Raw genomic sequence first — 14,038 nt, 5'->3', positions numbered from 1 at the left:
GCGCTCTCGGCTGGGCACGGTCCGGCTCCAGGCCTGACGGGCGCGGCCTCCCCACTGGACGCGTGCGGGAGGGCGGCGAGGCCAAAGCGCTGGGGCCAGGAGGGCACCCGCCTAGCGGCTCCCTACGGGAGTTGGGGCAGAAGACGCCGCGACCCCGCGCGGGTAATTTCTCCCGAGGCGCGTTCCAGCCCGTGGCGCTGCCGGCGCAGACCCCGCGTGGGGACCGGCGAGGCTAACCCCTCCTGCGGCCCGGGGTCGGCAGAGCACGCAAGGGGCCGCGGGCCGCGTGGGTTTGGGCGCGCCGTGGTGGGCAAGCGGGGCCAGCGGAGCGGGAACCCGCACACCCTCCGAGCGGAGCCGAGGACAGGCCCGTGCGGGCCGCGGGGTCCCTCTGGCGCCAGGAAGCGGCGGCCGAAGGAGACAACGAGAACGCAGCCCCGGCTCAGGGAGGCTTAAAAGCTGAGATGCTGAACGCAGACGGCGGGCGCTCGGGGGCTGGGGGGCGGGTAGAGGCCGCCATTTCTCAAAAAGGTCTCCATCGAGCCGGCCTCTGCTCCCGCCCGAGGGGCGGACGCCCGATCCCGGCACCCGGGACTGCCCGTGGGTCCCTGCTGGCTGGGGACCCCCAGCCCCCGGCTGCGCGCAGGGAAAGGCTGCAGAACGCAGAGACCAGAGAAGCCGGGGGCGGCGGGGAGGGGTCGGGGGGCCACGGCTGTAGCCCGGCCCCGCAGTCTCGGAGCCTCAGTTTCCTTCTCTGTACCACGGGAGCGTGGACGGAGGGATTTCCGAGGCTTTGACCGCTCTGATAGCCCCGGGGCGGGGCGGGGCGGGGCGGCTGCGCCAGCCCTGGTCCTGAGCCCCCAGCCCGGCGCCGGAACCCGGACCGCGATCTCGGGAGCCGAGCCCCGCGGTCCAGATGAAGGCGCGAGTGCGCGGGTGCCGGGTGGGGTGTCTGAGCGAGAGCGGAGCTTCTCAGGTGGACGCCCCCAGCCACCTCCGGGACCCTTCCTGCTGGCCTTTGGGCCTGAGAAGTGGGCGCGGCTGGACAGACGGGAAACAGCCCCCCACGCACAGGTGGACACCCGGGGATACCGGGCGCGCGCGGCGCCTGGCAAGGGGAAGCTGCTGGAGACGCGGGCGGCTGCTCCCGCGGGGCCCCCTTCCGAAGCGCCGCTGCGAACGTCCAGCCCCGGCGACGCCGCCTGCCCGCGATCGGGCCGGCGCCGCGGACAGGAAAGGCTCGATCAGCTAGGTCTGCCTCCGAGAAGTCCCCAGCGCCCCGCCCGCACGGGGTGGGGACTGACAGTCCCCCGGGGACGGGGCCGGGTCCACAGAGCCCGGGAGCTGGGGGAGGGGAGGCGCCGGGGGCCCCGACCCGTGGGAAGTCCCTGTACCCAGGCTGCCCGGCGGCTTCTCAATAGCACACGGACATCTAAGAAACGCGGGGCGGCCCGGTGACCCCCGCTCTGGACTTAGTGGCGCCGCGAGGCCCCACTCCGAGCCGTTGACCACCGGGCACTCGGGTGTTGACGACCTGGGTCCTTGGGCACCCAGCCCGGCTCCAAACGACCCCGGCCCAAGGGTGTTCAGTGCAGCCAGGAGGGCCGAACCGAATTCTATCTCCCGGACGCGGTGGTTTCCCGCCCGCCTGGAGCCCCGTCGGAGGTTCGGGGACACCACGCAGGTGGTCCATCCTCGAGTCCGGGGCCGGAGCCCGACTTCCTTCCCCCTGAGCTCTCGGAGCCTTCGGGGCAGCAGCGCCGGCCCAGGCGGGGGCGGGGGAGGAGGGGGCCGCGGCAGCTCCCAGAAGGGCGGGGGGGACGCGAGCGGAGGCAGCCCCGGTGGCGCGCTCGTGAGACCCCCGCCGCGCCGCGGGCCCGGGCCGCGGACAATTAAAGCGGGATTCCTCCCCCGCTGACGTCGGCGGCTCGAGGCCCCTCCCGCGGCGGCATAAAAGGCGCGGGCTCCGCAGCGCAGGCGGCAGTGGGGGCCTGATAGCGCGGCGGTGTGGACCGCGCGGCCGAAGAGCGCGGCGCCCAGAGCGCGGGCCGCTCGCGGAGCCACAGCCCGAGCCGGGTCCCAGCCGGAGCCGAGCCCCAGCCGAGCCGAGCCGGGCCCGGAGCGCCCGGTGCCCGCAGCCATGCCGGCCGGCCGCGCCGCGCGCACCTGTGCGCTGCTCGCCCTCTGCCTCCTGGGCGCCGGGGCCCAGGATTTCGGGCCGACGCGCTTCATCTGCACCTCGGTGCCCGTGGACGCCGACATGTGCGCCGCGTCCGTGGCCGCCGGCGGCGCCGAGGAGCTCCGGAGCAGCGTGCTGCAGCTCCGCGAGACGGTGCTGCAGCAGAAGGAGACCATCCTGAGCCAGAAGGAGACCATCCGCGAGCTGACCGCCAAGCTGGGCCGCTGCGAGAGCCAGAGCACGCTGGACCCCGGAGCCGGCGAGGCCCGGGCGGGCGGCGGCCGCAAGCAGCCCGGCTCGGGCAAGAACACCATGGGCGACCTGTCCCGGACACCGGCCGCCGAGACGCTCAGCCAACTCGGGCAAACTTTGCAATCGCTCAAAACCCGCCTGGAGAACCTCGAGGTCCGCGCGCGCCCTCGGCTCCGGTTCCCCCTCCGGCTCGCTCGCCCCTCTGCCCTCCCCCACCCCGTTCCCTACCCGGCCAGGCATCCCCCGCCCTCGCCTCAGCCGCGCGGGTGCCCGGCCGGTGCCTCCCCGCGCCTGCGAGGCCCCGCGGCGGCCACTCGCCCCAGCTCCCTGCCAGGCCGCCCCCGCAGTCGCCCAGAGGGGACCGCGCCGCGGGCCTTCCAGCACGGTCCCCGCGCCTCGCCTAACGGTGTGGTTTCCCCCGCCCTTGCACCCCGCAGCAGTACAGCCGCCTCAATTCCTCCAGCCAGACCAACAGCCTCAAGGATCTGCTGCAGAGCAAGATCGATGAGCTGGAGAGGCAGGTGCTGTCCCGGGTGAACACCCTGGAGGAGGGCAAGGGGGGCCCCAGGAACGACACCGAGGAGAGGGTCAAGATCGAGACCGCCCTGACCTCCCTGCACCAGCGGATCAGCGAGCTCGAGAAAGGTACTGGGGCCAGGGGGAGCCGTGCTGCCTGCCTGCACCTGCTTGCCCGACCCTGCCTCGGTCCCGATCCCTAACAGCCCAGCTCTGCACTGTGCAAGCCTCAAGCCGCTCCGCTACCCCCAACCCCTGCACCGCTTTCTCATTCCCCGCACCCCTTCCCAGGTTCTGGGCTTCTAGTCGGTGTTTCTATCAGGGCTGGGTGCCTTGGGCTGGGGCTGTCTCTGGGAAAGGGGATTGCATAGTGCCCCCTCCCCCATCCAGACACACTCACACACTCGCTGGATTTTTCAAGTCTGATTTGTTTAATCCTCAGTAACTTTGCACAGTGGCTGTCGCTGGCTCAAACCCTCCCTGCTTAAGAAAGCCTGTCTCTCCCTGGTCCCCAGCCTCAGCGTACAGCTGGGTGCAGGCTGGGGCTGGGCGCTCTCGTTCCCCGGGCCGCTGAGGCTGTTAAGCAGGTTTCTTCCCGGCTGCCATGCCCCCGGTGTCCTCTCAGGATCTCCAGCTCCTCCCCACTTCTGTCCTGAACCCCTACCCTGAGGTTTTCTTTTCTGAGTGACCCAAGTCCTGGCATCTTTCAAATCCCTGAGGTTTCTCAGTCACCAACTCAGGCCAGCCAGTCTATCACCCAGGGCGCCTGGATGAGCGCTGGAGGCTCTGTCTTGAAGTCGCAGAAATCAAACAAGGTTGTAAAAGGGGAGGGGGGGGGGTGCCCGGTGCGGAGCAAGGCCACGTGACCCTGCTCAGACCGCAAAATGTGCCGGACAGATTTAAACAGTGCCATCTTAAGGCTTGTTATGTAACTGAAAAACAGATCAGAAGGAAGGACCTCAGGAGGGAGGGAGAGGGAAGGAGCGGAGATTGGGGAATGAAAAACACCCGGAGAAAGGCCAGGGGCTGGGCCCCTCCCTATCCCCCACTGCAGGCCTCAATGGGTTGGGGTAGCCGCTGGGGTGCTGCACTGAGGGGGCCTGCCCTGCTCTGCTCCCTGCCAGTTGGTTTAGAGGAGGGGGTGGTTGCTGACCGGGCAGGATGTCTTCTAGAAATAATTTTTGGCCTGGGGAACTGGTTTCTTTCTGGGCTTCCTGGCAGGACCACGGCTGCTCACCCAGGGATTGACCAAGGGGTGTGTGTTCCTGGGCTCTGGGCCTGCTACTGTGCCCATTGCTGGCCAGGAATGTTTTGCCTGGAGTCAGTCACACCATACCCAGGGTGCCACAGTATATAGATGGGCTATGGGGGTTGGCGCTTACGGGAGAAGTGGCCGGTGGGGAGGGAGAAGGTGGGCCTTGTGGAAAGGGAGGCCACCAGGCCTGGAACCTGAGCTGTGAGGACACTTACTCACCTGAGAGTGTGGCGGCATCCTAGAGCAGTCACCTTGGGGAGCCCTGGCGCCCAGAGTACTCCCAGCTCCTTGCTGCCCTGCCCTCTCAGCAGAGCTCCAGGCAGAGTCCCTGCTCCAAGGAAGGGCCTTGGAGGTGGGGAGCTGCCCAGCCTCACACCCAAGAGGCATTGGTGGGTCAGAGGCACATCTGGCCTGGAGGGAAGTGTGTGGGCACCAGGGCCTGGCTGTCGGGTGGGGAGAGGCAGGAGCAGAGCCTGGGATTGAGCGAGGAGAGGCTCTGAGCCCCGCCCCATCCTGGAATCAGGTCGGTTACTCTCAGGGTAGCTAGCCTCGTTCCTCCTCTGCAGCCACCCCTGCTCCTTGGGTTGACTTGGCTTGGCGGCTGTCCCCATTCCCTTCTCATGCCCACCACGCAGCCCAGTGTTGATGCAGCAGCCCACCAGGCACTGCCCCCCACCCCCATCTCCCCAAGGATGCCAGCACATGGGCGTGACAGCAGGCCAGACCTGGAGCATGAAGAGCTTGGGTCAGCTCTTTACAGACTGGCCCTGTGCCTTGGGGCAAAGTACTTGACCTGGGAAGCTACCCGCTCTGCGTCTCCAGAATGGAGACCGGAGCCTGCCCTGGCCACGCATCACAGAGCTTGGTGGGGACCGAACTCAACTCAGACACCGATAAGCACTTCACGCAGGTGCAGATGTCAGGACTGTGTCTTCCGCAGGTCAGAAAGACAACCGCCCTGGAGACAAGTTCCAGCTCACATTCCCACTGCGGACCAACTATATGTATGCCAAGGTGAAGAAGAGCCTGCCAGAGATGTACGCCTTCACTGTCTGCATGTGGCTCAAGTCCAGCGCCACGCCAGGTGTGGGCACGCCCTTCTCCTACGCTGTGCCCGGCCAGGCCAACGAGCTGGTCCTCATTGAGTGGGGCAACAACCCCATGGAGATCCTCATCAATGACAAGGTAGAGCAGCCCCCGGGCTCACAGGGCGGCAGGGCGAGGCCCCAGGGCCCCAGCTCATGTTGCATGCGGAGACAGGGCTATGGTGGCCTCAGATGTTGATGGGGCCCCAAGGAAAGTGTTTGCCAGGTGGGACTGAGGGAGGGGGAGGGTGAAGACCAGGAGAAGTGGTAGGAGCCCCCTCACCTGTACTGGGAGAGCAGGGAGAGCTGGACCTTCCCGGATGCCTCCTGGGGTGGGTACGGGAGATGGCGGAGAACGAGCCATGGGGCCTGGCCCTGCCCGATGATGTGATCTGGACTCCTCCACCAGCTGGCCTTGGAACTGGCTTTGCCCCTCCATAGCAGGGACCCAGAGATGCTCTAGCGGGGTGAGGGGTCCTTAGAGATTTTTCCTGAGTCCAAGTCTATCCCACTCAGCCCCCTAACTCTCGGGAGGAGGACAGGTCTGTGTGATCCCTTGGAACAGGACAGCACAGGCAGCCTTTCCCTCTAGTGAACATTCTCCATCCTCCCCTGTTAGCTATGGAACTAGCTGCCAGCTTTCAAACTGTCTCAAGTCCAGGCCAGCAGTGGTAGTCAATGGCTAAAACCTGGGCTGGGAAGTGGATTCCACGCCCTTGTTCCTGTTGCTCTTCCCCACAAAGGGCTGTGCCATTCTGGGCCCCCTTTCCCCAAGCGGAAAGGGTGTGAAGTTTCTTTCCTCACTGTCTGCTGGACCGTCATCCTCCCGACCTGGAATGGCAGTGGGAGAGTGAAATTCCAGGTTGGAGGCTGGTCTGAGCTTTAAAAGGCATCGTGCTCCATGACATCTCTCAGATCCTCGGCAAAAGCTTGCCGTGTTGTAGAGTGAGAGGGTGTAACAGCTAGAGATGGGACATCGGAAGAGAGAGGAGAGGCCAGCAAGGAGGCTGCACAGATGTCGCACGGAGCCTTGAGAGGCAGCAGTGAACTCAGACACCAGGGACGGCTCTCCCTGGTGTAGACTAGGGCTTGTTGTGTAGACTAGCAAAGAGGGAGGAGGGTGAGTAGGAGTGAAGAGACTGCACACCCACATGGCCCTTGGGGGTTCCCTCGGTAGAGCCTTACATTTCCTGTGTGATTCTGTGCCCCACGCCCAGGCGGGGCTGACAGACGCTGAAGTCTGGGGCAGTAGGTGCTGTGAGAATTCAGTAATAGTTATTGACATTTACTTTGCAAGTAGAGATAGGAACAACTGAGGCAGTGAAGATTATGGCTTCTGGGCTGTACCCCTGTACTCACCAGCTGGCGTCTGTCATTCTCCTTCCCAGGTGGCCAAGTTGCCTTTTGTCATCAATGATGGCAAGTGGCACCACATCTGTGTCACCTGGACCACCCGGGACGGGGTCTGGGAGGCCTACCAGGATGGCACGCAGGGTGGCAGTGGCGAGAACTTGGCGCCCTATCACCCCATCAAGCCCCAGGGCGTGCTGGTGCTGGGCCAGGAGCAGGTACTGTGCTGGATGTGGTGGGGAAGGGGAGAGAGCTTCAGAACCAGAGGCTGGGAAGGGGAAGAGGAGCAAGGAGGGAGGGAGGTAGCCGGAGAAGTGGTTCCCCTGAGAAGCAGCCCGGGGAGCAGGCTGGGCAAGGCCTGTGCCCTGGGTGGACATGCACTTGAACTTCCTGCAGGAGTGAGCTCTGGTTTCAACGCTCTCAGAGCTGCAGCAACACTTTCTTTGGCATGGGAAGGCCAGTTCTGCTTTTAGTGATGCATAATCTAGTTCCCGTGAAGTGGTTTGTCTCCTGTTGGGCACCTGGGAGGAAGACGAAGGGATGGAGAATCGGGGACGTCTGTCCCTGTTGGGCAGCTTTAGCTGGCATGGAGTGATGTCTGGGCAGGGGCCCCAGGCCCAGCTGCTGTGGTTGTCCATGGCTGAGGGACCAGCTGCAGGAGGGGCAGAGTCCAGGTCCCCCCAGGAGAAGCTCCAGGGCAGAGGTGGTCGGTGCCATCCCTTTTCTTGGGCTCCCCCAGAGGAGGGATGGATGTAGGGCTGGAGAGTCAGGGACAGGGAGACGAAACGGCACCTAGGAGTGTCCGTGAGAGTCCGTGATCGGGCAGGCACAGAGGCACTCAGATCCCCGGCCTAGGGATGGGCCCCCAGACCACCTGGCGACCCCTCCACTCTCATCCTCTGTTTTTCTCTGAAGGACACTCTGGGTGGTGGGTTTGATGCCACCCAGGCATTTGTGGGTGAGCTGGCCCACTTCAACATCTGGGACCGCAAGCTGACCCCCGGGGAGGTGTACAACCTGGCCACCTGCAGCACCAAGGCTCTGTCCGGCAATGTCATCGCCTGGGCTGAATCCCACATCGAGATCTACGGAGGGGCCACCAAGTGGACCTTCGAGGCCTGTCGCCAGATCAACTGAGCACGGCAGGCCAGGCTGAGCCCGCCCGCCCTCGCCCCCTGCTTGTGCGGCGATGATCTGTTTTGTGCGTCTCTTCTCTCCCTTTTCCCCAGGAATGAACCGAGGCCGTCGCCCCTGCACACGCACACGCACACAGCCTGGTTTTGTCCTCATGCACACGAAGCAGCCCCTGCTCCCATCTGTCCCTGAGGAAGCCCCACTTCTCTGTAGGAGCCCGGACTCTCTCAGGCATGCCCCATTCACAGCTGAAGTGGGTGCTGCAACGTCTTGAACAAGGCAGAAGTTGGTGAGAGGATCTGTGTGTGCGTGTCTACATGTGTGTGTCTACGTGTGTGCGTGCGTGGCTGGGGGAGGCCTTTTCTTTGAGGACGTACCTCATTTCCTTCTTTCTTCTGGCTTTGGAAAAATCTCATGATGAAAATTCATATTTGCCAACTTTGTTAGCTGCGTGCGTGCTTTGGGGTTGGTGCAACCTCAGTACACGCATTTGTCTTTGTTTGCAAACCTTTCTCAGAGCGACATATCTTTATATTGATGTAATAAATGTCTTTTAGTGGTTTGTCAAAGGCCGGGGGCGGGGGCTCTCTACAGAGAATTTTTATTTTGTAATAGAAGTGAACTGTCTCTGAAGGGTGAAGGCAGGCCGTCCTGGGATGGTACCCTGTGCTCTCCCGTGGAGGAGAGGGGATGGCTGAGGACACTGGCCCTTACCCCAGGGCCAGACAGCATCCATCCCTGCTGTTTGCATCTGAGAGCAGCATGGGGCCTGGGAGGTCGGCCTGTGTGCCCAGCTCAGCTAGCTCTGCCCCAGGACGGCCCTGCCCTCGACCTTCCCACCTCCTCAGATCCTGCAAGGCTGGGGTCTGCCCCTCCCTTCTCACCTCTGGAGCTGTGCTGCACTGCTTCAGCCCAGAGGGCCCTGAGAGAGGAGCGTGCCACCCACAGCCCGGGAAGCCGGGCCCCAGCACCCCTCTCCTTTGGCCTCCGGCAGTGCAGACCAGAGGGGACCTTTTAAGGAAAGAAGCCGTGTTTCGATGAAGACCTGGCCACATGGGGCCACTGGGACTTCAACCCAGCCCATCGGTGGGAAGGTCCTTTTTGGGGGACTTTGACAGCCATATCCCTCCCAGCACACCAGGCGCCAGGTGAGCTGGTTCAGACCCCTCCAGGGGTACTCCAGAGACCTCACGTGTGGAGCCAGGCCTGGCCAGGGCAGGGGCCTGAAACCCACTCCTCCATCTCATGGGGCTCACGGCCTACAGCAGCCCACAAGCTGCCACTGGCCGGCGACACTGACACCTGAGCAGTGTCCAGAACCTTTTTGCCTTTTTTTGTTCCCCGTGAAAAGCAACATGGACATTTCCTTCTAGTCCTTCCAAGGAGGGGAGAGAAGTGTATGTGCATTTGTGTGTGTGTGTGTGTGTTGTGTGTGTGTGTGCGCTAAGTGAGAAAGAGAGCAGGCTCGGGAGGCCCTGCCCAGGGTAGGAGGAGCTTCCTGCTTTGCACCATCTGGTGGTCGCACGCCCTGAGGGCACCCCGACTCTGTCTCCAGGAGTCTCATCAGCAAACCGCTGACAAGTCTTTCTAGAAATTCTACTGCACTGCCTGGCTCAGCTGCAGCTGCAGACATTTCTGCAGGAGGAGCAGGTGTTTCTGTCTTCTGTTCCTTCTAGGGCCACCTGTCCCCTTAAACACAGGTCCACGTTGTGTCAAGAACCTAGTGCATCTGTGTGTGTCTGTCAGTGTCTCTGTGTCAGTGTTCTCGTGGGTGTCTGCACGGTACCCGGCCGCCGTTCTGCAATGCATCACTCCCGCAGAGGGGGGTGCAGATCAGGCGCCGTGCTGCGCGTTGTTGTTCAACAGTGGCTTTTTCTTAGATAATCGTGCTTCCTCAGCGCCCGTCGGGTTGTGGCATCCTTGGATCTGCAGGGATCTTCTCCGTTTGCATGTTCCTCGGGGTGGCGTGTTCCTTGCTCCCTGGGTCCGACATGTGTTCCCGCACCTGCATGGACTGCCCCGGTTCTGTGTTGTGTGCCGAGTGCCGCCCAGTGTTCTGTGACCACCCGTGTAGCTACTGAAAATGGCTGGGTAAGCAAGTCAAGGGTGTTGGAGGAGGTCAAGAGAGAGCTCAGTTTCCCTCTCCCCCTCCCCAAACACACCAAGAAGCATTTTTAACGTGTAGGTTGAGAACAAGCCTAAAGGATTCCCACAGCTGGGAGCCAGCAAGAGAGCTTGGAGTCGCCTCTCTAGACCAGATCTAGCCCCACCCTCACTCCAGCCATCTCGGAGCCCTTGTGTAGGCAACGCCCGGTGCGGGCTGTGTGGGGTGCTCCCCTGCCAGCACCTCCGGCCAGCCCCGCCCCTGCCGATCTACTGGACCGCAGACCACCTTCTGCCCCCGTGGGCCAGGTGGGAGCTGTCCGTTCAGGACCATGAGCCATCCTCTGCCCTGACTAGCGAGGGGCAGAGCACACCCCAGTGCTTACGCCTCCACCCCTGCAGCCTCCTGGCCCGCTCACCTTCCTCACCCCTCCTCTGACCCACCCATGGTGCCAGGGCCGAAGCTGACCTTTAGCTCCCTCCTGCCCCTTGCTAGGGTCTGAGCCAAGCCCCTCGACTCCCTCACTGTGTTGACACTTGGCACTTTGCTGGCCCCGAGAAAGGTCGATGACACAGCCGCAAATCTAATCCACGTAGTTCCCATTTACTCCTTAATCTGATTGATGTTCCCTCTTGCACTGAATAATACATGCCTCTCTCAGGTAAGCCATTTTATAAAACAAGAAGATAAAAAGCACTGTTGAGGCAGTGTTTGCTTTTGCCGAGCTGGTGTCCGACAGCTCCCTGGGTGTCCGGGGTGGGAGAGCTGTTGACAGAAGCTCTCCGGGCCCTCAGGGGCTTAGATCCCACTTGAGTCGTAAGCCTTCTTGCTTTTGATAACACAGTATTATTTCTCTTACTGTAGAAGAAAAAGTTTATTACCAAACAAGAGTATTTTTATGAAAGAAAAGGACAAACCTATAAATTAACTCAACCTATATCTCCCTTGAAAATACTTTCAGGCTCCACCAAAACGTAGAACTGAAAGCATGTATTTTGGAAGAAAGAGATACATTTTGTATGCTTTCTTTTCCTTTTGTAGATTCCCAGTTTATTTTCTAAGACTGCAAAGATCACTTTGTCACCAGCCCTGGGACCTGAGACCAAGGGGGTGTCTTGTGGGCAGTGAGGGGGTGAGGAGAGGCTGGCATGAGGTTCAGTCATTCCAGTGAGCTCCAAAGAGGGGCCACCTGTTCTCAAAAGCATGTTGGGGACCAGGAGGTAAAACTGGCCATTTATGGTGAACCTGTGTCTTGGAGCTGACTTACTAAGTGGAATGAGCCGAGGATTTGAATATCAGTTCTAACCTTGATAGAAGAACCTTGGGTTACATGTGGTTCACATTAAGAGGATAGAATCCTTTGGAATCTTATGGCAACCAAATGTGGCTTGACGAAGTCGTGGTTTCATCTCTTAAACACAGTGTGTAAATTTATTCAACTAACGATGGGAAATGTATTACTTCTGTACACAGTGGACTGAAGTGCAATTTGTTGAAAGGGAACAAGTCATTGAAGAGAAAAAAAAAGCCCAATACTTAGAGTCCCAATTTTGTCTCATTTGCCAAAAAAAAAAAAAAAAAAAAAGCAAACCCCCTATGGTTGATATTGTTATAATGTATATACTGTATAATATGAAAGAGAATCGATGTATCTCACTTTTTCATTATTTGCTAACCAAAGCTGTACATTTTTCATATGATCTGCAGCCTTTTGGGTATCAAATGGGTCAAAACCATGGGACCTGCCACCTCCCATCAGCAATTCTGGAAATGCACTATTTCTACTGGTATTCTTGCTTTTTTTTTTTTTTTCATTTTCTTGCTGAAATGACATGAATTGTTGAGTTTATTTTTACACAGTAAAGAGTGGAGAAAGACTGTGGTCTCCTCAGGATGTCTCTTCTTTTCCGAGGCTTGCCAATGCCACCTCCCCCTGCAGCCACCCCTCTTCCCCAGCCAGGTGCAGGTGACCCTCACCTGCAGGGGGTGTGTGCCTCGCTTGTGCATTGCCCTGTGCCCTTTGACAACCCCACACCGTCTGGTGATGCTGGATGTTGGGTGGAGGGGTCTCCATTTCCCAGGGGCAGCTGACGCAGAGGCAGAGAGTGGCCCAGTGTTTCCCCAACTCAGTGAGGCCACTCGGCCTGGGATGTGGGGTCACTCCGCATTCCCCTTCCCCTCCTGGGTGGACTCGCGGTCCACAGCTGGGTCCGGGTTCGAGGTGGCCCGGGCTTGTCGTGCCCAAGCAACTCTGGCAGTTCTCTGCCTCAGCCTCTGCTAGCGGGGCCTTAGCCACGTGTGGTTGCCTTCCCGCTTTCAGAGTCCCAGGCCCCTTCCCTGCACTTGTCTGAGAGTGTCTGAGAGTGTCCCTACAAAGGGATAAATAGCCATGGGAACGCTGGGCCTTGGGCTGAGCTTACTTCCCTGTCCCCCTTGTGGACCTGGCTTGACTCTGGATGTGTTTGGAGCTTGCGAGCTGTTCCTTCCAAGGGACAGAGTAACCAGGACCCAAGTGCCCTGGGGTGAGTGATTCTAGCACACTTACAACCTGAAGTCAGGGGACATGGAGCCAAAATCACCTGCCCGGTGGTTTGGTTGGTGCCCCCCACCTCACACACACAGATGCACACACACACACACACACACACACTGGGTTGGCGGAAGGGACTGGTCACTCTGGCTTCCTGTTGGCATCGCCCGGGGATTCTCTGCCCGGTGCTCTGGTGTTCCCAGGACTCAGGAGCGGGGGTTTAGTGGGTGTGAGTGAGCCACCTGTCACCTGGGATGGTGTGGAGGGAGAAGGTTTGGCCTCAGCAAAGCAGGCAGGGAACCCCCTGTGTCCCTGCAGGAAGAGCCTTGGTCGGGAGACAGAGGCCCTGCCAGGCGGGAGGCCCCTGGCCTGTGTTCCCAGAGCCATTCTCGCTGGGTGGTGTTCACCCCAGGGTGCACGCTCACGGTCGGGCCCAGGGTTATGCCCGATTCCAGTGGCTCCAATGGACACACCGCCTCACACCTCCCACTCAAGAAAGTGCAGAGTTACGTCTGTGATAACGTCACGCATACATTTCTAATCTCTATGTGAGAGCTCATTCAAACACTTGGGTTCTTAACTATCATTAGATGCAAAGTACTTTCTGCACTTCTCACGCCTGATTTTGGCTCATCCATGAATGCCTTCAGGGGGCCGTGGAGCTAAGAACAGCTGCTTGGAAAGAAGCCACGGGCCTTGCAGCTCGGTGGAGTGAGGTGGGAGTCTGGGCAGCGGGACACGGGCGCAAGAAGTCAAAGCCAGAGGGTGTCTTGGAAGTCATTAACTTCAGCAGCCTCTCAGGTGCCTGAAACTGTTCTCGGCTTGCACACTTCTGGTGATGTGGAGCTCATTACCCCAGAGAGGTAGTCTGTCCTATTTTCAGACGGCTCTGACTATCGGCAAGTTTTCTTTTGCGCTCCCGTCTCTTCTTTTTCTGTCATTTCATGCTTGGTTCCTTGCATTGAGCTACAGCTCCTGCCCATCTGTCCCAACACAGGAAGACGGGGGTCCCTCAGTCTTCACCAGCTCTGCCCCCATGCAGCAGCCTCCTCAAATTGCACTGGGCCAGGGGCAGCCTGCCTGCATGGCGGGTACTTCTGTCTCTGTCGCTATGGACAGAGATGCTACGTCCAAGACCTGCAGGATGTCTGGGCCTGGAGAACCTTGAGGGTCGTCTAGTCTGTCTCCCCGACTGTTCAGATGAGGGGACCGAGGCCCAGAGGGGCTGTGTGGCTCATTCAGAGTTGCACAGCTTGACATCCAGAAATCAGAATCCAGGATTCCTGACTCCCAGCTCAGTGTTCTCGCCTGGCCTGGCTAAACAGCAGGGTCCTGACCTGTGCTGTGGGGCTGGCAGTACTCTCTCTCAGGGCCGTGAAGATGGGATGAGGAGCTATATGCACAGGGCCTGGTGCGAGCAGGTACAATTGGGGGCAGACCCCACTACCTTCTGCCATGCCAGGATACCCTCCTCCAGGTTCCTCTCCTGAAGGCCGGACGCCGCCCCCACTGCCCACAGGCCCCTCCCCATGCACCAGTCCCTCCTGGGATGCCAAAGAACCAAGGGGAGCTGGGAAATGTTGCCTTCAGGTTGGGCCATGGGGCACCCCAGCTGCAGCCCTCGGACTCCAGT

General features: G+C 60.5%; 1 protein-coding gene across 1 annotated transcript, besides 2 other annotated features; it reads left to right on the top strand.

The window, feature by feature from the left end:
- Nucleotides 1–1,979: 1,979 nt before the first annotated feature.
- Nucleotides 1,980–11,753, top strand: NPTX1 (neuronal pentraxin 1). The gene is made up of 5 exons (NM_002522.4): nt 1,980–2,584; nt 2,869–3,076; nt 5,143–5,387; nt 6,676–6,855; nt 7,553–11,753. The coding sequence occupies exons 1-5, from the start codon at nt 2,141–2,143 to the stop codon at nt 7,772–7,774; spliced, it is 1,299 nt and encodes a 432-aa protein (NP_002513.2). The 5' UTR covers nt 1,980–2,140; the 3' UTR covers nt 7,775–11,753.
- Nucleotides 2,993–3,526: an enhancer, noted in NCBI's record as "H3K4me1 hESC enhancer chr17:78448861-78449394 (GRCh37/hg19 assembly coordinates)". NCBI's record gives its function as "activates a minimal SCP1, AML or CMV promoter by ChIP-STARR-seq in naive H9 embryonic stem cells {active_cell/tissue: H9 hESC(naive)}" and the evidence as "EXISTENCE:reporter gene assay evidence [ECO:0000049][PMID:30033119]".
- Nucleotides 9,938–10,662: an enhancer, noted in NCBI's record as "H3K4me1 hESC enhancer chr17:78441725-78442449 (GRCh37/hg19 assembly coordinates)". NCBI's record gives its function as "activates a minimal SCP1, AML or CMV promoter by ChIP-STARR-seq in naive H9 embryonic stem cells {active_cell/tissue: H9 hESC(naive)}" and the evidence as "EXISTENCE:reporter gene assay evidence [ECO:0000049][PMID:30033119]".
- Nucleotides 11,754–14,038: the final 2,285 nt, after the last annotated feature.

This window comes from Homo sapiens, chromosome 17, assembly GCF_000001405.40.
Source record: "Homo sapiens chromosome 17, GRCh38.p14 Primary Assembly".
NCBI lineage: Eukaryota > Metazoa > Chordata > Mammalia > Primates > Hominidae > Homo > Homo sapiens.
This window is presented reverse-complemented; position numbering and strand designations above follow the sequence as displayed.